This window comes from Homo sapiens, chromosome 2, assembly GCF_000001405.40.
Source record: "Homo sapiens chromosome 2, GRCh38.p14 Primary Assembly".
In the NCBI taxonomy this organism is placed as follows: domain Eukaryota; kingdom Metazoa; phylum Chordata; class Mammalia; order Primates; family Hominidae; genus Homo; species Homo sapiens.
In genome coordinates this window covers 132,778,831-132,803,436 of record NC_000002.12, presented here as the reverse complement: position 1 = coordinate 132,803,436, position 24,606 = coordinate 132,778,831, and the positions used below count along the sequence as shown (strand labels likewise).

The 24,606-nt window shown below is 42.2% G+C and overlaps 1 protein-coding gene across 20 annotated transcripts in view; it reads left to right on the top strand.

Moving 5' to 3' along the window:
• The window catches only part of NCKAP5 (NCK associated protein 5), a 1,003,049-nt gene that overhangs the window by 871,400 nt on the left and 107,043 nt on the right, over nt 1–24,606 (top strand). For 16 of the 20 annotated variants that reach the window (XM_017003975.3, XM_011511100.4, XM_005263660.5 and 13 more), the window contains 4 exons: nt 6,708–6,809; nt 13,232–13,414; nt 17,719–21,497; nt 22,208–22,385. In XM_017003975.3, coding sequence (XP_016859464.1) covers nt 6,708–6,809; nt 13,232–13,414; nt 17,719–21,497; nt 22,208–22,385 — 4,242 coding nt within the window. The remainder of the gene's footprint in view (nt 1–6,707; nt 6,810–13,231; nt 13,415–17,718; nt 21,498–22,207; nt 22,386–24,606) is intronic. The other 4 variants (XM_047444134.1, XM_047444133.1, XM_017003979.3 and 1 more) reach the window with 1 other exon arrangement.

Here is a 24,606-nt window from a genome sequence, read left to right as displayed (position 1 = left end):
CCTTGGGTCCTGGAGAAGTAGAAAAGAGACAGAGCCATGTCATTTGCCAAGGCACCATCCAGAGCAAAACAGAATGCACTCAGGGCAGCTAAACATTGATGTGCAAGGCAAGTCTAAAAGTTGTCAGGGAAAATAATAATTGCAACAAGGACTGTTGCAGATGGCTTAAAAAATTAGCTGTAAAAATTTCAGACACTGAAGTGAGATCAAATTATGATGGACATATTTTTTTAAAGGGTCTCTAGGAGAACATTTGGAAGGCACACTGTCACATCAGCAGGAAGGCTGAATGCAGATATTATGTTTTATCTTTGTAGCCCAAAATGGAAATAATGGCATAATCAATTAAACATCAGCTTTTATCCAAAAAGATTTTGTCCTGGTCTCAAATTTTTGTGAATCTAAGAAATGACCATATAATACTCAGTTATGTAATATGCAGTTATATAATATTCAGTTTTATAATAAATTCTTAATGGAATAGAATGAAACTTGTGAAATGTGAACCCAGGGATCTGCCACAATCTCTCTTGATGGGATTCTGGAGGGGCTGATGAAAAATCACACTTCTCAGTGTGGCAAAAATGTAATTCTAGTATGTGAATAAGGCAAAACTTTGGGGTTTTTATGGAAGATCATTTGGCTTCTACAGAAAAATTGTTTTCATCAGGCTCCAAGCTGTTTTAGAAAATTTCCTGCACCTTCCTTTTGGAGATCCTTATGCGTACCTGTGAAATTGCCTTGTTACCCAACAGAAGGAACAAAGCTTATTCACCTGATTATGTCTATTCAGGGTCATATTTAAAATGCTTCTCTTAAACATGCACCAAATCCTCTAGAAAGGTGAACTTACAGGCAATCAGAGGAAGTGAGCAATATCAAAAGATACTCAGGAGATTTCATAATAACTCACTCCAGGTTTGCTTCCCTTGTGTTGGGCTCAAAGGGAATCAAACCCTGGGCCCAGGGCCCGCCTAAGACAGAGTTGAGGGAGCAGAAATGGGGCTCTAGGAAGCTTTCTAGAAGCTGTGAGGTGAGAACAGCTCTCCAAAGTGGAGATGATTTGAAAACAAAACTAAAGCTGAAAAAGCAGTAAGTTCTTTTTCTGAGAAATCAGCCCAACATCCAGTCCACTAGATTTGAGGGAGGGTGATCCCTAAACATGGCCAGGTCCAAATAAGCAGCTAGCCAAGGTGACAGAGTGTGGCAGAACCCAGAGAGACAGTGGGCTAGAGCAGACTAGGACTCACCAAGACGGGGAGCAGCCAGGGCAGCTGTTGGCATCCCTTCTCTCAGATCAGGTGCTGAACGGTTAAAACTTCTCTTTTGTGCCGATATTTGGCTTTTAATAGTTGGAGGGGCTGGGTGCAGTGGCTCATGCCTGTAATCCTAGCACTTCGGGAGTCTACGGCAGGTGGATAACCTGAAGTCAGCAGTTTGAGACCAGCCTGGCCAACATGGTGAAACCCCGTCTCTACTAAATAGCCAAAGGCTCAAATGCACCTCAGTCTCCAGTCTCTGCTGCCATCATTAACTAGAGAGCTGCAGAGTCAGTCACTACCACCCTGAAGGGTCCACTCCACCTTCATCCTGCCAGATAAAGGACAGTCAGTCCCTGGCACAGTCTGTTGAGGGGGACATTTCTCTGCCTTGAATTACAGATGCAGAACTGCACAGAGAACATAAAACTGACTGAATGAAGGCAAGTGAACCCACCAAATATTACCGACCCAATGTATAGTCCAGGCACTGACTACCCTGGCATTGCCAGGTCCCCAAAGCTTAGCTTGGTATTTTACACCTGTATGAGGCATGCGTTCTGTTATAAATTGTGATACATCTTAGCTCTTCACACAATCCCCTAACCCCTGCCCTTGTGTATAGTGACAGAAAGCAGGTCTCTTTCCTATGAAGCTAGAATCTTCAGTGGGGTTGTCACCTTGCGCTGTTGACATAGCCACTACATATACATGTGTAAATACCCGTATATATGAACATGTGTGTGCACCTATGTACACATATGACATATATACATAGAAACATGCATGTTTCTTGAGTGGCTACCCTGTAGGCTGCCAAGAGAACTGTGTCAGCCAGGTCAATGTCAGCAATAATAACAAACTCCAAACGAATCATGGCCCAAATTCAGTATAAGTTGGTATCTTCCTTGTGTCAAATCCAGAAAAGTCGTTTCTTTTCCCAGAGTGGCTTTCTTCCAATTGAGAATTAAAGAAGCCAAACTCCTTATACCTGGTTGGCTTCATCTTCAACAAGTGGCTTCCAAGGTTGCTGTGCTGAGTTGTCTGCATGAAGCCAGTGGAAGGATAAAGAGCATGGAAGACTATATGAGGGAGGTATTCCTGGGCCAGGCAAGAAAGGGCAGATGTCACTTTTGCTCAGGCTCCATGACTAGAACTAAACGTGTCATGTGGGCACACCTGACTGTAAAGGAGGCTGGGAAATGCAGGCCAGCCGTGCCCCCAGAAAGAAGAGGGCCAAGGTTCCCGAGGTTTCGTGACACCCAGCTAGTCCCTGCCACTGGGACAATGTAGAAATTAAGGGATTGACCTGCATTTTCATGGAGTTGATTGTCCTGTTAGGAAGATAGAACCTACACAGAGAACAACTCAGTAAGAGTACACTTTGGATAAAGGACCAAAATGAGAGGCAGTCCAATTCCTCAAGGCAGGGAATCCACTGTGGGTTAGAGAGGATAGATGACTTTACAGGGAGGGTTTCAGTGTCATCCTGAATACTGAACAGGATCTAGGGGCAGGAGGAGGAAAGTGTGCCATGGAAAAATGGACAAAAGATCAACTCAGACAGGAGAGGGGCACATTCCAGAGACAGCGAAGCCAGCCTGACAGGGAGGGTTAGACTGTCACCGTCAAAGGAAGCATATGAGTAAAAAGATCCCTCACTTACCTCTGGTTTGAAAATGTGTGAAATTAGGAGTCTCTATTTCTGAAACCCAGTTGAATCTCAGTTACTGAGACAGTGTGACAGATGACACAAGGCCTATTTCAAACCTATACTGAGTAGTCCTGCTACTTTTCATGTCTAAAATAAAACAAGTATGTCTAACTCCAGAATTCATTGGGATTTGCAGGTTAAAGACAGGAAGTTTAAAGTATTTCAGATGAGATTTTATTCAGATGAACACTAACAGTAAATATGAACTATACATGGGTATATGATAGAGAATTTGCCCCCTAAGCTGGGGGGCTCCTCTTAAGAGGTCATGGCCTTCTTAAGTCAGTTATGCTCTTTTTGACAGTGACTTAAATTTCTAATGTATACATTCTACCTATTTTTCACTGAAGCACAGGTAATATAGTATCAGTATAAAAAGTGATGCTATACACACACATGCCTGTATATTATGTATATGATGAAAATATGAGCCTATTATAAAAATTCTTGTCATAAGAAATGTAGTTTCTTTGGGGTTGTGTGCTTTCACAGTTATTTAAGGGAAGTTGTGTGATATTAACCTATCATTTCCTTGCCTATAGCCTTAACACAAAAGTAGATTTTATTGTGCTTGAGATGATAGGTAATCCAGTTACCCTGATTGGATCATTATACATTGTATACCTGTATCAAAACATCACATGCACCCCCATAAATATAAACAACTATTATGTACCCATAATAATTAAAAATTTTGAAAAATAATAATAAATGTTTAAATTATTTTTTTAAAACTAAACAGATTTTATTTTATTCTAAGTCAATTTTTATTTGCCTTATATGTATGAAAGCTATAACAATGAATGATTCATTCGTGCCTTATTATCTAAGAAGTTACCTACCACCAACTGTCAGGTATAACAATAAATTGGCCTATGTGAATTTCAGCATATTATCCTGTTTGTTTTCCCTTCTTAATATGATAGTGCCTCTCTATACCTGTGGTAGTAGATTAAATAGCCACTTCTGTCTTTCTTTTTTCTGAAAATTTACACTTACTGATGCCTATAATTCTGTCATTGGATGTTGTGACTTTGTTAGGAATTTTATTTAACTTCACCTTTTATTTTAGATTCAGGGGGTACTTCTGCAGTTTTGTTCCGTGGGTATATCGCATGATGCTGGGTTTTGGATGCAGGTCCCATCACCGAGGTAGTGAGCATAGTACCCACTAAGTAGTTTTTCAACCCATTCCCCCCTTTCTTTTTCCCCATCTAGTAGTCTGCAGGGTCTGTTGTTCCCATGTTTATGTCCATGTGTGCTCAGTATCTAGCTTCCACTTATAAGTGAGAACATGCAGTATTTGGTTTTCTATTTCTGAATTAATTCACATAGGATTATGGCCTCCTCTAGCTGGATTCGTGTTGCTGCAAAGGACATGATTTCATTCTTTTTTATGGCTGTATTCTATGGTATATATGTACCATATTTCTTTATCCATTCCACTACTTATTTGCACCTAGGTTGATTCCGTGTCTTTGCTACTGTAAATAGCCTGGCAATGAACATGTGTGTGCTTGTATCTTTTTGGTAGAATGATGGATTTTCCTTTGGGTACACACCTAGTAATGGACTGATGGGTCAAATGGTAGCTCTGGTTTAAGTTTTTCCATCTTTCTTTTTGCAGATGAGGGATTTGAGACTAAGAGGTTCAGTTACATTCCTGAGATCCTGTAGAACGTGTACCTTCAACAGGGCTAGAACTCAGGTCTCCTGGCCCTTGCCCCAGGACCTCTCCTTTCTCCCATGCAGACCTTCCCTATTTCAATGAAGGGAAGGGACCCATTTGGATAAAAGCCACTGAAACAGCCTTGAGGAGGGCAGGTTTTTAGATGCATATATTCATGCAGTAGGTGAAAGTGTGACATCATATATCTGAGAAATAATAATGAAGTGCATTCATGAACTGAGTCATTTAGATAGCTAATCCATTGAGGCCTCTTCTCTCAAATCAGATGATATACCACTCAAAATCATTTCTTTTGTTGAATGTCATTTCCCATAACTTCTTGTCCTGTTTGCATATTGATAAATGTATTCTTAGGTCTCACAACATTGTAATTCTTTTGGCACTCTCTCAATCTTTAAAACTTACATATGGGTGAGTAAAATATAAAGACATCTTTTTGTTTAAAGACTACAACAAGCACTAATGGGCTGCTTACTAAGTATGATGTATTTTGTCGGGTTCCGGAGATTGCAAGATGAGATAAATTGTATCTTTGCCCCCAGGAAAGTCAGATTCTAGAGCTTGAATCTTGAATTAGGATTATAGAATTAGGATTATAAAAACTGTCCAGAAACAATGCATTGGTTCTGGTTACCTATGGAGGTCTTAGCTCTGCTGGAGAAATTTGGATTTTCAAAGCAACAGGCAATCAGTTTAGAAATTATTTTCTTTTTTGTGAAAGGACTTCCACAGACACACAATTTGAAGGTCCACTGAGAAGGAGAACTGGCCAACCCACAACAGCAAAAAAATACCTTTACCCTTGCAGGAGGATAGAATACAGCCCTGCCACAGTGCCATCCTTCAGGAGGTGCTGTATAAATGTTTGTTGAATAATCACCTAACCAAGTACTCAGGGCTCTCACAGAAGTTCAGCCTAAAGAGAGTTGAATGGGGAACACAGAGAATGTGACTCATTTTAGTGGAGTTTGTAGTCCCTGCTGACTTCATGGTAGATATGCTGGGACAGAGTGACCAGTGGGATAGCCCTGCCCTCTAAGATGATTCTAACATTGCTCAGTGGCAAAGAAGCAAAGGCATTTCTTAGATCAGCATCAGTGTGCAGCAGGGCCTCTCCAGGGAGAAAAAGGAGTAGAAAAAACTTTTCGGAAGCGAGAGAGGCACGCTTAGCTGCATTATTTACTTACTCAATTAGATTTTTTTTTAGCATCTGGAGCCACAAAAGTTGTAACCAAGACAAACCAGGCTATAAGTGCCATTTTCAAAATGTCATCAGCCTAGCAGAAACATTAAGCATAAATCACGACTTTTATTGTATTTGCAATTAAACAGATCAAATTTAATGTCCACAGAAAAGCCTTAGTAATTAGTATCAAGATTAATACAGTGAAATGTCTCTGGCTTAGCAGTCCTCCCAAACAAAACTGAAATAAAGAATTCAGTATATAATTGAACAGCACGTGAATATTAATGTACAAAATCCTCAGAGTCCCCAGGTCCCCAAAGCAATTATTTTCTATTCACATTAATTGTTCCTAACAGATGACATTAATGACTTTGAGTTAAAACGTGTCCAAGGGAAGATTTCACAAGATCAATGCTGTTTAGAAATAAGGTCACTTTTATAATTATCTGCTCAGATTTTAACCACTGCTCAACATAGTAAGGTGAACTTGGTGATTGGTTTTCTTAATGTGAATATCAAATGTTAATTTTCATACTACCCAATAAATATATCAGAGTATTCATACTTTTCCTACTGCTTATTTTTTTAACTACTACTTATATTTTTCTACTACATATCTTCCAAGGCAGACTGACAGACTGTAAAAGCATCACTATTGTTTACAAAATGTAATTTGCACATACACGTACATATACATGTATGGGAACACTGATAAACTAGAATAAACTTTTTTTAATTAGGACATGTATTATCTAATCTGGAAATGTCAAGTCTTTTGAGATTTAACTGTCCAAGGCAGGATTTTGAGACAAATAATTAAATTATCGCTATTCAATGTTTCTGCTTGGTTTTACCTAGAAACTTCACTCACGTCTCTTGGATCTTTCATCTGGAGATTTGCTTTCAGAGGTGGAAAGAAACCGAAGTCTGACACAGTCACGAACTGATGCTGAGGTGCACGTGAGTTTCCCAGTTGCCTTCAGAACACTTGTTTTGGTGGTTATTTTCCTTCCATCAAATATGATGTCACAAGCGAACCATAAAGTGCATCCTTGAAGCATTGTCAGGCAGATAAAAATACCTTCCTTTCTTGTGTTCTCTGAAATTCAATATCATGTCCCCCAGCTGATATAGTAAGCAGAAAGTGTCATTCTTGGCAAAAATATCATAAATCTTGGCTTTGTCCCCAAGATACCTTTTTTGGATATTGATTACATCTCAGAGTCTCTGAGAAATGGTCAAGGAGCTTTTTATTAAAACCCACGTCCCATATTATTCATCCTACTTTTATGATATATTATGTATGAACTTTTAAAAATTCATGGGCTCTGCATTTTTTTTCTCTAGCTGGGGTTAGCTTTGTGCTTATCTGGCAAAACTTTAACCAGCATGGCTTTTTAACTCTCGTTGACATAAAAAGAGTAACTTGAAAAAACACAATTGCCAAATAAATATATAATGAAAAACGTGAGGCTTAAAACAATGACATGAACATTTGTGGATAACTGTTTTTTTATTTTACTGAATAATTCCATCAGTGTAGATAGACCATTAAATGTAAATATTCTCAAGTTAGATTTGAATTGAATTTCAGTGGAATATTGTCACTTTAAACATTCATAAAGACCTAATGGCATCCAATCTATAATATAGCCGTAAAGTCAGGAGTTTTTTTTTTTTAAGTATGGAGTTTTTATTTAAAAATGGGAAGAATGAAACTCTGGGCTTCATTCTCTTTTGTTTTTTTTGTTTTTTTTTTTTTTTTTTCTGATACGGGGTCTCATCCTGTTGCCCTGGCTGGAGTGCAATGGCGCGATCTCAGCTCACTGCAACCTCCACCTCCTGGGTTCAAATGACTCTCCTGCCTCAGCCTCCCAAGTAGCTGGGATTATAGGCGCCCGCCGCCACACCCAGCTAATTTTTATATTTTTATTACAAAAGGGGTTTCACCATGTTAGTCAGGCTGGTCTCGAACTCCTGACCTTGTGATCTGCCTGCCTCGGCCTCCCAAAGTGTTGGGATTACAGGCATGAGCCACTGCACTGGGCCAGCTTCATTATCTCTATTTTTTAACTAAAATTGTAGATTTTATACTGCATTTCTCACAGTAAGAATGTTTAAAGTATATGAATCATTCAGGGTAGTAATCTAAAATAAACAATGAGGAAAATATACTTTGGATAGTGCAGAAGACAGGTTGTATTTTTCCCTGTTAAATCAACATAATTAAGATAATGTTGCAATAGAAGCTAATACACATTTTTGATGAAGAATTTTAAGAATAATCATTATTACCAATGACAACTCACTGGGATTCATGGGGTTCTGTGTATCTCTGGGAGCTCTGCTCATTGTCACAGGGCTGACTTGGCATTATGGCATAGTGGCTTGGACTTGGGCCGGGCATCAGAATGTTATATTGATAGGGCAACTTGGGCAAGGTATTAAAACCTCAATGCCTCAGTCTTCCCTTTTAGAAAATGAGGATAATGATATTTCTTTTCTATTTCAGAGAGTTGTGGTGAGGATTAAATGAGATAACACAGGAAATGTGCATACACAGTGCCTGCTAACAATATTGGAACAATCATAAGATCTCTGTTCCTTTGGCCCCCTTCAGTTCTCTTAATATGTGGTACCATGCTGCACCCACAGCAAACCACAGCAAAGGTAGAAATGATCACTGAGAAAGGGCTCTACTAATATGTCTCTCCAGAAGCCAGAAGCTCACATCAGTGATCCCTGGTAACAAAGTCCATCCACTTTTGGCTATTGCCTAATGTAGTTACTACTTAGGTACCAGGCATCAGGGAATTATAGGATATCAGGAAGTGTAAAACAGGGTCCCGTAGGGAGACCATGAACTAACTGATGGCTTAGTTGAAGAGCCAAGACACATGTGTATGTGTGTGTGTGTGTGTGTGTGTGTGTGTGTGTGTATTTGTTGTTGTTGAGATGAAGTCTCACTCTGTTGCCCAGGCTGGAGTACAGTGGCATGATCTCGGCTCACTGCAACCTCCACCTCCCTGATTCAAGCAATTCCCCTGCCTCAGCCTCCCAGGTAGCTGGGATTACAGGTGCACACCACCATGCCTGGCTAAATTTTTTGTATTTTTTAGTAGAGACGGGGTTTCACCATGTTGGCCTGACTGGTCTCAAACTCCTGACCTCAGTCAATCCACCCACCTTGGCCTCCCAAAGTGCTGGGATTACAGGTGTGAGCCACTGTGCCTGGCCTCTGTCTCTGTCTCTCTCTCTTTCTCTCTCTCTTCCCGCCACCCTCTCTCTCTCTCTCTCTCTCTCTCTCTCTCTCTCTCTCTCTCTATATATATATATATATATATATATATATATATATATATATGTATAAACATTTTTAATAATAGTAGCAACACCCAGGTAAAAGTCCCTAAGCACCAGCGTTTGTCAGGGGCTGTTCAGTCTTCACAATGATCCCACATAGTAACTACTTTCATGATCTCCATTTACAAAGAAAGAAACTGAGTCACAGAGGGGTTCAGTAATTTTCCCAAGCTCACAGAGCTAGCAAGTGAAAGCCAGAGTTTAAACCTCATAAATGGCCTTGGAGTTCAAGTGCTCAACCACAGAACAGTTATTTACTGCAGTAGATAATCCTATGTGATAATCACATGCTGACGAAGGAAACTGTAGGGGAAAAAAAGCTCACTTTGCAGCCAGGATGTCAGGGATTCCGCATCCCTTATTAAATTCAAACATTGATTTTCCAAGGTGGGGGAAGTGGGAGAATTTCCCAGTAGAAAAGAGTGGCCGCCTCCTCTTCTTTGCAAGGAATTACTCTGTAACTACCGCTACACGTACACCTACACAGACACTCTCCTTAACTTACGTGCCTGCTGGCAGGCAGGCTCAGCCATTCCCTTTGCCTGGCTTAGCACAGCCCATGTCAGACAGTGAGGTACCACAACGTGCTGCTAGGGAACTCACATAAGAGACTGACTTCTTTAATAGCTTCTCCTAGAGGCTTGCTGCGCAAAGCATGGGTCACAGAATAGCAGCATTGAAGCACCTGGGAACTTGTTAAAAATACTACATACATCTCAGGTCCTACCTCAGAATTACCGAATCAGAATCTGCATTTTAACAAGATCCCTTGGTGATTCAGTTCACGTTAAAGTGTGAAAAGCCTGTCTTAGAGGACACCTCTCTGCTTAACCATCTTTGCCCCTGCCTGCTCCCACATGACATTCACAGGCCTTCTCCACCTCCCTCAAGTATCTGCCATCACATCAGGGCATCTCGGCTGGGCACGGTGGCTCACACCTGTAATCCCAGCACTTTGGGAAACTAAGGTGGATCACCTGCCTCAGTTGAGGGTTTGAGACCAGCCTGACCAACATGGAGAAACCCCATCTCTACTAAAAATACAAAATTAGCCAGGTGTGGTGGCACATGCCTGTAATGCCAGCTACTTGGAAGGCTGAGGCAGGAGAATCACTTGAACCTGGGAGGCAAGGCAGAGGTTGCAGTGAGCTGAGATCATGCCATTGCACTCCAGCCTGGGCAACAAGAGTGAAACTCCGTCTGAAAAACAAAACAAAACAAAACAAAACAGAGCATCTCAAGTTCAAGGCCAAGGGAGAAGCAGCAATTCCTTCTCACTCCAGCCCATCTTCTGAGTCCTACTTTCCTGTCATCTTAACCCAACATCTATACAGGAGGTAAACACATGGACATGAGTGGGCAGGGCTGCTTATTCATTAAAAGAGACCTGGGAATTGAGTTGTAAAAATAGGTATAATTTTAATAGAAGTAGTAGGAAGAACAGGCGGGAAGGACAGAGAATTGCATGCAAGCCTCCCTCAATACCTTGGGAGAAGGTAGAATGTAAACTGTAACCAATAGCCAGGCAGAGTGCAGAAAGGTCATTGGAGTTTGGATCTGGACAGCCTGGTGGGACAATAGACACAGTCTCTCTCTCTCTCTGTAGAGTAGACACATCTGTCAGAGCAGAGGCAGTCCTAAATAACAACCACCACACTGCGTATTTAAACAACAAAATATGAGAGGACAGACAGGAGAAAACAGAAAGCACACAGTAGAAGTGAAGCCTGATGAGATATTTCTGAAAGTTTGTTCAGTGCACATTCCAGGTGCCAACAGTGGCTGAGGCTGAAATGGCAGTTGCTGCTCTGCGACACAACCATTTGTTGTAGGCATCTGTGGAGATACAAATATGAACTCCCCTTAACTAAGTTACGTCCGGCAATAAACAAGTTCATAAATCAGTAGATATTGCTGAAAGCCTGATTTTAAGACAAGTTTCTCCTTTCAATAATATGTAGAGCCAAATTTCAGGGGGAAGAAATAGGATAGTAAAATTTCTTGGCATTTTTAGATCACTTAAAGAGATTGCTATGCAGCAAAAATGAAGTATTGATAGTAAGGCAGATGCCTAATACTGAAAATCTAATGTTATTAAGAGCTGAGATCATGCCATTGCACTCCAGCCTGGGCAACAAGAGTGAAACTCCATCTGAAAAACAAAACAAAACAAAACAAAACAAAACAGAGCATCTCAAGTTCAAGGCCAAGGGAGAAGCAGCAATTCCTTCTCACTCCAGCCCATCTTCTGAGTCCTACTTTCCTGTCATCTTACCCCAACATCTATACAGGAGGTATACACATGGACATGAGTGGGCAGGGCTGCTTATTCATTAAAAGAGAACTGGGAATTGAGCATTATAGGTATTGATTAGAGAGTAAATTAAACATGCCCTGTGTACTGATGTAGGAGTTTAATATTTACCACAAGTACTGTAGGATCATCATTACCTTCCTTTCCCAAGCTGGTGTTTAGTCACCGTCAGTTGGAATTGCATTTGGAGAATGGTGATAAGTACTCAGGTACTGAAAGGCACCCACAAAGTGTCAATAAATTGTATAAGTAAAAGGCTTTGCCACTCTGCAAGTGACACAAAGACAGATGGCTTACCATCAAAGAGTTTCTGAGACAAAGCTTTATATAAAAAGGAGACTGGAATTAGACGGCAATAGAGAGATTCTGTTCTCAGTGGTTGGGATGTAAATTAATTTAGCCTGTCCAGTTTGTAGAGCTTCATCTGTTACACGAGGGGCCTATAATGTGGCTGTCAAGATGTGTTTGGAGGTTTACAGCTTTATTTGTCACCCTTGCCTTATGAAGAACCACTAGAATTCTAACAGCTTGAACCTTCCACTAAAAACCCAGACCTACCTGATGTGAGGGTTATTACCATGTGGATAGCCAAATGGTAACAAGGACTGGATATGAAAAGCACTATTATATTTACAGTGGAGGCTCATTATACCTGAGTTTCGTGTCTGCTGTGCTTGGCTTCCTGTGAGGTAGCACAGATAGGCAATGGGCATCTGGTTGTGGACTTAGTATGATGCCATCAGAACCAGAGGAAAGTGTAGCAGAAATCTCAGACAGCGGCACCCTCTATAAAGAGGACATTAAAGACCACAGAAGTTAGAAGTCTTCCTTGCTCAAGAGTGCATGCTTAGTGGCAGTGGGTAGCCCGGGATCCAGACCACTAGACTCACAGCCAGTTTACATGCTTTTGAAGCCTGTAGTCAAAGATGTGACTCTATCTTCGTCCTTTTGTAGCATTCGAGTCATGTTTTGATACTGATTTGATATTCTCACCAGTATGGCTAGATAAAATAAGACCACCCTTGTGGTACTTTTGCCTAATAATGATGGCAGCTTATAATAATTGAGCACCTACTAGAGGCCAGATGCTGTGATGTGCTTCACAACTAGACCCTCGTTTAGTGCTTGCAATAACCCTATAAGATAAGCAATAGTATCATGATTTCCTTTGAAGAAAGAGAGTAAATAGTTTCCCCATAGCCACACAGGAAGAGGCAGAGCCAGGATCTGAGCCCAAATTTGACTCCAAAGTCTGCCCGTAATTATCATACCATACCATACAGACAATCTGCAGCTTAGGGTAGTTCGACAGGATTTTTTAACTTTGTGATGGAGCCAAAATACACATTCAGTAGATACTGTACTGTGAGCACCCATACAACCATTCTGATGTTCATTTTCAGCACAGTATTCAATAAATTACATGAGATATTCAACAGTTTATTATAAAATAGGCTTTGTGTTAGATGACTTTGCCCAACCGTAGGCTAATGTAAGTGTAGGCTGGGCTGAGCTGTGATGTTCTGTGCGTTAGGTGTACTGAGTACATTTTCAGCTGATTTTCCAGTTACCATGGGTTTATCAGGATGTACTCCTGCCATAAGTTGAGGAGCATCTGTATTCCCATCTACCTCACCATAAGGTTGTGTTGATATTTACTCTCCTCTGAGCAAAGCCCTTGCTCAGAGCTGTCCTGCTTTTTCAGGAACACCAACTAAATACAAAATCGGCCTTGAAATGCCCTGGCTTGGGGGCTGTCATCCCTGGTCATCTCTGTCCTCGAAACAGCTACAGTAGCAGCAGTGAACTGTCTCTTTCAAGCACCTGCAGCGAGTACTCCAGTGGCTCCTCCTACACGTGGCACGATGGGAAGAACCTCAGGAAAAGGGTAAGGCACTGTGGCATCGGAATGAACCAGAAAAGAATCCTCTTCTGGTAGGATTTGGTCATGGAGATGAAGGGCAGGTGGGAGGGGTAAGAAGGAAGCCACCATTTGCTGAGCACCTGCTCATGTATTATACTGACATCCTTTCATCAATGCTATAGCCTCATAAAACACTATTTGACTATAAATTGGAGGGCAGCGTGGTGAGATGACAGAGACCACAACTTCAGTGTAGGTAGGCATATTTCTACTTATATACATGCCAAGATTTCCTTTACCAGGATTTTTAATAATTACTACTACTAGAATGACTCCCATCTGCACAGTGGACTCGCAAAGCTGGAGATACCTTTGTGCTTTGAGCAGACGTCTTTGTACACTGATGTAAGGGAAATATTTGAAATAGCTGTTTTATCCATTCCCTAATGTTGGAGAAAAGGAAAGAGCACACAAGAATAGAAACCCCGGATCAGAGTATTTGGAGGTCATTTTTCTACCATTTGTATAAATTTAGTTCATGGTTTTAGCAGTGTAGAAACCAAGAAAAATCCAGAACTCCCAGGAGATATTGATGAGGGAGTAGCTTTGTCATCCTCTGAACAAGAACTCAGAAGATCTCAAGGTTGCATTTAGGGCTTATTCCCTGGGACTCAGACTTCCAATGCAAAGTACAGAGCCTGCTGCATTATCAAAATTGCTCCCTCTAAGGAGTTGTTAGGTGCTCTGAATAATGACTGCTCTGAGCCTGGTTTGGAACAGACTGGACAGATGGTCAGGGATGTTTCCTCGCTTTGTGAATATCCCTGGCTCCCAGAGCCCCTCGCTCTGCTCTTTTCACTTTCACACCTCTTTGTCTCTCTCCTTCTCAAAGGCTTTTCACTTTCTTTTAATTTTTGGCTGGAATTCTTCCAATTACAGTAGCTTTTGATGTTCTAAGGCAATCTCTCCCCTGAATGAGGAGAAAGAAGGTTCTTAAGGCACTTCATGGACACTCAGGTGGCTCTTCTCTGGATCCTTAATAGGGCTCTGTCATGGTCATGGAGTACCAGTACACCTGTCATATCTCACAGTGAACTGTCTTGTTTCTCAGGGACCTAACAAGCCAGACCCAGATTCATGAAGACATTTGAAATGTGTATTACTTAAGAAACTTTCTGCAGTTTCTTACTTTGTGCTGGGTACTCATGTAGTATTAACTTACATAATAAACTTGTATCATATGAATTTGAATTTGAATATTAATTATATAACAATTAATATATTATTGATTGTGCTTTTTGAGCTCACAAGTATGTTTTACTTGTGTACAAACAGAAAGGAAGCCTGCATGAAATGCACTAGCCTGCCCTACAGAGGAATGTGGCTCTAGTCGATGAGAAATTACCATATGCAGCACAGCCTTTTAAGGACTTCAGAAGCCTTAGATCATGTAATGCTCCCAGTCGCCTATTAAGTAGGCTCTCCTATTCTCCCCATTTCACAGAAGAGGACACTGAGGTGCTAAGAAGTTAAATAACTGAACCAAGATGCCACAGGCAGTACATGGCAGAGCCAGGCGCCAGAAGGCTCCAGAACCCACATTCTTAATTGTTCTTTTATACTGGCCTTGTTGAATCAGCCTGAAACGTGGTGAGGTTGCTTCAATTATTGAGATCAGTTTGCTCCCATTAAGACCCTTTAGAAAAATATATATATATAAGATTCTTGTCCAGTCAAGAAATGGAAGAGGACTGTGGACATTAAACACAGGCCTGCACCTCAGCAACAGCATCTTTTAGTCAACCACACTGCTTCCCAAGAGCAACTCTCTTCCAACTTTCGCAGCAAAGGATGGATCTGCCTGTGAGAAATGCCAGCTCCTCCCCACCATCACTCCCACGGGGCATTCGTGTGTCTCCTACCCCCAAGCTTCAAGATTGGCCTAGACTTTTCTCCAGTTGTTAGATACTATAACCTCCTATAGAGGACTGAAGGAGGAATGTGGCTAATCTCACCAGGCAGAGAGCCTGGGCCCTGGGAGGTTTGCAGCCACTGGCTCTGGGGCAAGTCGCAGTGCAGCACCTGGCAGGCTCCAGAATGGCAGAAAGGAGGCAAGACAGAGGTTGAGCATGTCTTCTTGGGGGTCAAACAGATCCACATTTTTCAAGCTCTTGTGGGGTACTTTGGCTTGGTTTCTCTTATTTATTGTCAACATGACTATCAGGATCATGGAAATTCTTAGAAACTTACACTGTGGCAGCTCCTTTCTGGTGGAGCTATAATACCCAGATTCACTAATGGGATTTCTTCTGATTTCTAAAGGAGTTTGTAATGGTACAGGGAAGAGGAAGTGGGGCAGCATCACTGAATAGCATCTACTGCCAGCAACTTCTGACGGTGGAGAATTTCCTAAAGAAAATTTATAATTTGATTTAAAAACAAATAAATGTGTGCGTTGTTGATAGCAAGAGTAATTTTCATGAAAATGCCATAGATGTGAGCAAATGTTTACAGTGTACTAAGAAGCCCAGATTCAAATGGAAGTTTCTGACATGTTTTTCAACCACTGCACATAAGCGTGTGGGGCAGGGAGGAGACTGATGTAGCCAAAACTGGTATAGAGTGCATTTCTGAAACCCAGAGCCTTCTCTTGAAGCTCTTTACCATTAATCATATAGCCCTTTTTTTTTTTTTTTTTTGAAACGGAGTCTCGCTCTGTCACCTGGGAGGGAGTGCAATGGTGCAATCTCAGCTCACTGCAATGTCCGCCTCCCAGGTTCAAGCGATTCTCCTGCCTTAGCCTCCTGAGTAGCTGGGATTACAGGCACCCGCCAACATGCACAGCTAATTCTTGTATTTTTAGTAGAGATGGCGTTTTACCATATGGGTCAGACTAGTCTCGAACTCCTGACCTTTTGATCCACCTGCCTTGGTCTCCCAAAGTCCTGGGATTACAGGTGTGAGCCACTGCGCCTGGCCCATATAGCCTTCTTAAGAAATCATTAGGTCAGCCCCCTAAACTCTGCAAGTACCATTTAAGAAATAGTGTGGGGTAACCTGTGATCTCTATTATGACACTGACTAAGGTAAAGGGGAGAAGAGGGGCTAAGCTTGGCTTTATATATAGCATCAGTTAGGACTGCAAGCTCTGGGGCCAGACTGCCTGGGTTCATGTCCCCTCACTGCCACTTTTGAACTGAGTCAAAACCGACGTACTATAGAAAGAGCCTGAGAAACCAGAGGTCATACCTTTGCTCCAGCTCTTTCTATGTGATCTCCAACAGACCCAACAATGAGTCTCAGTTGTCTGTTCTGAAGATGGAGTGAAAGCACCCTGTAAATGGCTGGTGTACAGCAGAGGCTCAGTAAATGTTAGCTTTTTTTTTTCCCCCTTCCATTTCTTATTAGCAATACTATGAAAAAAATATGAATATGTAGAGCACAGCCTTTTCTCTATGTCATTTCCCATACACTTTTCCAAAGCTGAGGCTGGCATTTGGGAAGGGTGATGGGCAGGAAATTGACCTTTCTAAATTTGGTAGGTGAATAATTACTGTCAGGTTCTAACAGCGAATGCCCAGCTGCTGTGTATGTGTGTATGTGTATATGTATGAGTGTAGTAACTTAAGAAAATTTTCATAGATATCTATTGTCTACCAAATAAAGTTATGAAGTCACAGAACTATCAAATGTGAGCATAAAGATATCAACCAACTTACTTTTCCAGCTTTACCCTCTGCACCTCTCGTAGACACTCTGCAATAAGGCCATATCATCTTCTAGTCATTCCCTCAATGTACCTTGAATGTACTTTCTGACTTAGGTCTTTGCCCACCCCATTTCTCCCACCTGGAAAACATTTCCCCCACTTTTAACCTACGGCAAACCTATGTGTCTTTCAAGAGCTAGGTAAGTTTAAAAGAAAAAAATATATATACCTTTCCTATATGCCTTTCTCCAAATAGACCTGTCTGTGGCCTCCCTCCTCTGAATCTCCAGAGTACTTACAACATTTGCACTTCCCATTTTCTCCCTTGACATACAGTTAGTTGTGGCCAATTCTCCTCTCCCCACTGGGATTCCTCCCATGAAGACAGGGCCTTTACCTTCTGTTTCTTTAGATCGCTGTGCTTCTTAGCACAGGACCTGGCAAAATCAATGTTTGCTGCATAGTTTGTGAATAAATTAATTAGCTAATTAATGTAGGCATTTATATGTGAATAGTTACCAACCACTAGCACAAATTAAGTCCCATGATGTACTTTTCCTTTTATATCTTTGTGATCTACATGGTTCAATCATTTCTGATGTCTACTTTTCTTTCCTAGCAATCATCACAAAACTGGGATAAAAGGCTAAGTATTGATTCTTCGCTCCCAAGTGGCTTTGCTAGTCCTACAAATGAACTACCTCCAACTCGTATCAAGGAAAGCCACATTTTGGAAGGGCTAAGAAAGCTACAGAAGCGAAAAGTGTTACTTGAACCCCCATCAGTGATAACCAAATGGGGTTATAAAGATTGCATGAACTCGAATGAAGGAATATATTCTCCTGGAATTAAAAGTAGCAGCCTCAAGGAGTATCCCCCCTGCAAAACAGCTGACCTGGGGAGCCCCTGCAAGGAACCCCACAAGACATTTGTTTATGATCTAGATTCCCACGTTGATGCGGACGATGACCCTTCCACCTTAGCATTGCTCCAAGCAGTTCCAAACCAGAGCTGCAGGCCACATGGCAGTAAATTAACCCACAGTGTTTCCGACAGTCTGTTTGGCTGGGAGACAAACAGAAAACACTTTCTGGAAGGCACATCCTCAGTTTATCCCAAGGAAAGGCCTGAAAAGCTGACAAGTTGCGCCAGCAGCTGTCCCTTAGAGATGAAGCTGTGCCCAAGTGTGCAGACGCCTCAGGTACAGAGGGAGAGGGGCCCACAGGGCCAAGGCCATGGCCGCATGGCTCTCAACCTCCAGCTTTCAGACACTGATGACAATGAAACGTTTGATGAGCTGCACATAGAGAGCAGTGATGAGAAAAGTCCTTCAGACGTGTCATTGGCTGCCGACACCGATAAGTCCGTGGAGAACCTGGATGTCCTTGTGGGGTTTGGAAAATCTCTATGTGGGTCTCCTGAAGAGGAGGAAAAACAAGTGCCCATCCCTTCAGAGACTAGGCCAAAGACTTTTAGTTTCATTAAGCAGCAAAGAGTTGTAAAAAGGACTTCTTCAGAAGAATGTGTGACTGTGATATTTGATGCGGAAGACGGTGAGCCCATTGAATTCAGCTCTCACCAGACTGGGGTTGTCACTGTTACCAGAAATGAGATTTCCATCAATTCAACTCCTGCTGGACCCAAGGCAGAACATACTGAGCTTTTACCTCAGGGAATTGCTTGTTTACAGCCAAGAGCTGCTGCAAGAGACTATACTTTCTTTAAAAGGTCTGAAGAGGACACTGAGAAAAACATTCCAAAAGATAATGTAGATAATGTTCCCAGGGTGTCCACTGAATCTTTCAGCTCCAGGACAGTGACACAAAATCCTCAGCAGCAAAAGCTGGTCAAACCAACACACAATATATCATGCCAGAGTAATTCCAGGTCTTCGGCACCCATGGGCATCTATCAAAAGCAAAATCTGACAAAAATACCTCCCAGGGGCAAGTCTTCACCTCAGAAATCAAAACTAATGGAGCCCGAAGCCACCACACTACTCCCTTCATCTGGCCTGGTGACTCTTGAAAAATCACCAGCCTTAGCTCCTGGGAAACTCTCACGATTCATGAAGACTGAGAGCTCAGGGCCCCTCTTTGAATTACGATCAGATCCACACATTCCAAAACATTCCGCCCAACTTCCGCACAGCTCCAGGATGCCCAGCAGGAGGGACTGGGTCCAGTGCCCCAAGAGTCAGACTCCAGGGTCACGGTCAAGGCCTGCCATTGAGTCTAGTGACAGTGGAGAGCCCCCCACGAGGGATGAACACTGTGGCTCTGGGCCGGAGGCAGGGGTGAAATCCCCTTCCCCTCCGCCCCCTCCAGGCAGGTCCGTCTCCCTGCTGGCCAGGCCCAGCTATGACTATTCACCAGCACCTTCATCCACCAAGTCCGAAACCAGGGTCCCCAGTGAAACAGCAAGGACCCCATTCAAATCCCCGCTGCTGAAAGGAATTTCTGCTCCAGTTATTTCTTCTAATCCGGCCACGACAGAAGTGCAGAGGAAGAAACCTTCTGTGGCCTTCAAAAAGCCTATCTTCACTCACCCTATGCCCTCCCCAGAAGCAGTCATTCAAACCCGATGCCCTGCTCATGCCCCCTCCAGCTCCTTCACCGTAATGGCTCTGGGGCCTCCAAAGGTCTCTCCGAAGAGAGGTGTCCCCAAAACCTCTCCTCGCCAAACACTTGGGACCCCACAAAGGGACATAGGATTACAGACTCCCAGGATCTCTCCTTCAACCCATGAGCCACTGGAAATGACGTCCTCCAAAAGTGTATCTCCAGGGAGAAAAGGACAATTGAATGATAGCGCCTCCACACCCCCCAAGCCTTCCTTCTTAGGGGTAAATGAGTCACCATCATCTCAGGTCAGCAGTTCCTCATCATCCTCATCACCCGCCAAAAGCCATAACAGCCCTCATGGTTGTCAAAGTGCTCATGAGAAAGGACTGAAAACTCGCCTTCCAGTGGGACTCAAAGTGCTCATGAAGTCTCCCCAGCTGCTCAGGAAAAGTTCCACCGTGCCAGGGAAACATGAAAAAGACAGTTTAAATGAAGCCTCCAAAAGTTCCGTGGCTGTGAACAAGTCTAAGCCAGAGGACTCCAAGAATCCAGCAAGCATGGAGATCACAGCGGGTGAAAGAAATGTGACCCTACCGGATTCACAAGCACAGGGCAGTTTAGCTGATGGGCTTCCCCTGGAAACAGCACTACAAGAGCCATTGGAAAGTAGCATCCCTGGGAGTGATGGAAGGGATGGGGTAGATAATAGATCCATGAGAAGATCCCTTTCCTCCAGCAAACCACACCTAAAACCAGCTCTGGGTATGAATGGCGCCAAAGCCCGCAGCCACAGCTTCAGTACACACTCAGGAGACAAGCCTTCTACGCCCCCCATCGAAGGGTCAGGCAAAGTCCGCACTCAGATCATTACCAATACCGCCGAGAGAGGCAATTCTCTTACCCGGCAGAACTCTTCCACGGAAAGCTCTCCCAACAAGGCCCCTTCTGCTCCCATGTTGGAGAGTCTCCCCAGTGTTGGGAGGCCCTCGGGGCACCCCTCCTCCGGGAAGGGCTCCCTGGGGAGCTCAGGCAGCTTCAGCAGTCAGCATGGGAGCCCAAGTAAGTTGCCTTTGAGGATCCCTCCAAAGTCTGAGGGACTCCTCATCCCACCTGGAAAGGAAGACCAGCAGGCCTTCACCCAGGGAGAGTGCCCCAGTGCCAATGTGGCTGTACTTGGGGAACCAGGCAGTGACCGCCGCAGTTGCCCACCCACCCCAACAGACTGCCCTGAAGCCCTGCAGAGCCCAGGGAGGACTCAGCATCCAAGCACTTTTGAAACAAGCAGTACATCCAAGCTAGAAACTTCTGGAAGGCATCCAGATGCCTCTGCAACCGCGACTGATGCTGTGAGTTCAGAAGCCCCCCTCTCACCCACAATCGAAGAAAAGGTCATGTTGTGCATTCAGGAAAATGTGGAAAAGGGCCAAGTGCAAACAAAGCCCACCTCTGTGGAAGCAAAGCAGAAGCCTGGGCCTTCTTTTGCCAGCTGGTTTGGTTTTCGGAAGAGTAGACTTCCAGCTCTGAGTAGCAGGAAAATGGACATCTCCAAAACCAAAGTAGAAAAGAAAGATGCAAAAGTCTTGGGGTTTGGAAACAGACAACTAAAATCAGAAAGAAAAAAAGAGAAAAAGAAGCCTGAACTACAGTGTGAGACAGAAAATGAGCTTATCAAGGACACCAAGTCAGCAGATAATCCAGATGGCGGTTTACAAAGCAAAAATAATCGGAGAACACCACAAGACATTTACAACCAACTGAAGATTGAACCAAGGAATAGACACAGCCCTGTTGCATGTTCAACGAAAGACACCTTCATGACGGAACTCTTGAACAGGTAACTCACTGGAAAAGCAGGTAGCAATGTAGAGGGGTCCCTCCACCACCTTTAAAAGAGTTGTTTGCTTCCTGTGCATTAAAGGCCAGTCAAGCATGTTTTTTCATACAGGCAGAAATGAATAGTAGCAGTCTTTTATACATTAGCCAGAATTTAAGCAATGAAATAAAAGTTAGCAATAAAATGATCATTTAGTCCATGTTACTTTGTTAACCAAACCAATGGCCTTTGAAATTAAAGAATGGTAAGTTTTATCAGGGTTGATAGCAATTCCACCTACACTAGGAGCTATGAATGTACCCAGATGGCGTGAAATGGAAGAAAATTACACATACGTTTTAAAGCATGCCGATTTCGTTGATTATACCTAGCAAACATATACTTGGAAACTTTCCAGAAATAATTATATTTCTTGCTGCTCTTAAGCTAAAAATGTAGTTAATAATCACTCTTCAGTGGTTTTTATTTTGCCCCTCTCCACAAGAAATCACAAAAATAAAAAATACATTATGATATTGTCAAATCTAAATTGACATGCTACTAGAATATTTGAAGATTTGATCAAGGCCCATGAGAAACCCTTATCCGTCAAAGGTTTAAAGACAAAGAGCTACAAAGAGGTTACTTTAAATATTAAAAAGATTGGGAAAAGGAGAGTGATTGAAGAAGGAGCAAGGTAACTTATCAGAGGAATCACTTTCTACCTGCAGAGTTGATAAGAAAGCAGCTCCACAGACAGAAAGTGGATCAAGTAATGCTTCCTGCAGGAATGTGTTAAAGGGCAGTTCTCAGGGCTCCTGTCTCATCGGCAGCTCTATCAGTACTCAAGGAAACCACAAGAAAAACATGAAAATCAAAGCCGATATGGAAGTACCAAAAGACTCCCTGGTAAGTGCTCCACCATCCTGGTATCAAGTGCTACAATCTGAGATGTTCTGGCTGGGGTCTTTCTACCGTTTGCTAATGAAAATGTATGGGTAAGAGATTGCAACTGGGGGAAAGAAAAGGTCAGTGAAAAAGGATTTGTAAAAAGAGAGCGAAATCCTGGTGACAACTGCAGCAGAGAGCTGGCAGCTGGACCTCGAGTGGGCCTGGCTCTCAGGAAATGCTGCTTTTCCCAGCTGTTTTCAGAACGTTGAGTATAATCGCAGTGAGTCCAGGCAAATGATGCTACTGGTATCATCTTCAAATTACACCACTGGGCTGGAAATTTGTTTTGATGATTATTTCTAACATCACCTGCCACCAAAAAGGAATGAACATGATTTTAAAAATAAAAGTGCTAAACAATTTAAGAGAGTATTGCCTATTTTGATGATTTGATTTAAGCATTGTTCATGTTTTATGAAAGTTGTATGTCCAATTCATGCAACTTAGACAGAGGCTATTAAGACTAAGAAATCTTTTTTGGAACTTGGCTCCCTATCATTTAGTCTATTGTGAGGTCCAGAACTCAGGGAGTAGCCTTCTTTTTAAAAATTAAAAAATAAGGCCGGGTGCGGTGGCTCACGCCTGTAATCCCAGCACTTTGGGAGGCTGAGGCGGGCGGATCACAAGGTCAGGAGATCGAGACCATCCTGGCTAACACGGTGAAACCCCGTCTCTATTAAAATACAAAAAATTAGCCAGGCATGGTGGTGGGCGCCTGCAGTCCCAGCGACTTGGGAGGCTGAGGCAGGAGAATGGCATGAACCCAGGAGGCAGAGCTTGCAGCGAGCCGAGATTGTGCCACTGCACTCCAGCCTGGGCGACAGAGCGAAACTCCTTCTCAAAAAAATAAATAAAAAATAAATGAAAGAGTATTTTTTATATTTTCCTGGGGTGTACTAGTTTCAGTTAATATTTTTGTTTTAAAATTACCTTAAATTGCACTTACTCTCTGTACATTCTTCATGTACTTGTGTAAATAATTTAATAGTATTCATTGTTGCTTTTGGCAAGTTCCAGAGCACTTAAACACAAAATATTCTCTTTATGGAATTACTATATCCATATCTTTTTGTACTCTAATAAAGAGATTATTAAAATATAGGACATACTACAATTTTCTGAGGGAAAACTTGAAATATTTCCCTGCATTATTTTCTGGGGTCATTCAAGAGTAGAGGAGATTTTAAAGTGACCATGGTTGACATTATTAGTTATTAATTATTAGCTATAAATACTTATTGATGTTTAGATTTCCTTCAAGTTTCACAGACTTTAATTTGAGAGAAATGGATGTTTAAATTTTTTTATTCAAATAGCTCTTGACTCTACAGAGCCATAAGGTCTTTTTTACAAACTCTCCAAAATTATATGCAGATTATGTTCGTTGCAAAAGTTTTTTTTTTTTTTTTCTTTCCCTCATCCCATTTCTGCTCTTGGCTTCCATGGTATCATCCCTTCTTTGAAAACACAGATGTCCCCTGCATTATAAAACCACAAATTGTAAGCATATCTAAGGCTGCCCTTGTGGTGTCACTGAAAGGAGGAAGAGAGAATGAATGTGTGAAAATGTGCAATATGCTGGAAATTCAATCCAGCTGATGGAAAACTTTGATAGCCTGGCAGAGCCCCTTATCAGAGGCACTCAATTTAACTATGACCCATTTAATATGGTCCTGACAGCCTAGGGTATATCTTCACTGTACAGAAGTACCAAAAAAACAAAAAGACTTTATGTTTGGCTTTCACAATTTCATTTTTATTTTCTTATTACTTCCTAATGCTAAGGTTATTTGCCATGCTTTTCCTCTCTCATCTGCAGTCTTTCACAGGGTCCTTTGGTCTTTCCAGAATATCTGCAAGAAACACTCTAATTATTTTCTGTGAAGTACAAAGATTCCCTAACGACCCCACATATACATAATCCATATGATGATTTTTCCAGTTAGCTGAAAGACAAATTAGTCATGCTGAGAAGCTTTTCCATACAGAGAAATGTTATTAACCTGGGTAGTTGACCAGCTAGTCATTTTTTTAAATGTAAAATGCAGTGCTTTTTGTTTCATCTCCATAATCATCAGCATGGATTGGGCTAAAATTACTAATTTCACAAAGGACGTTGCTATAGACTCCTTTGTGACTGGTACAAGAATAGGAGGGAAAACTCATTTATTATATGTTA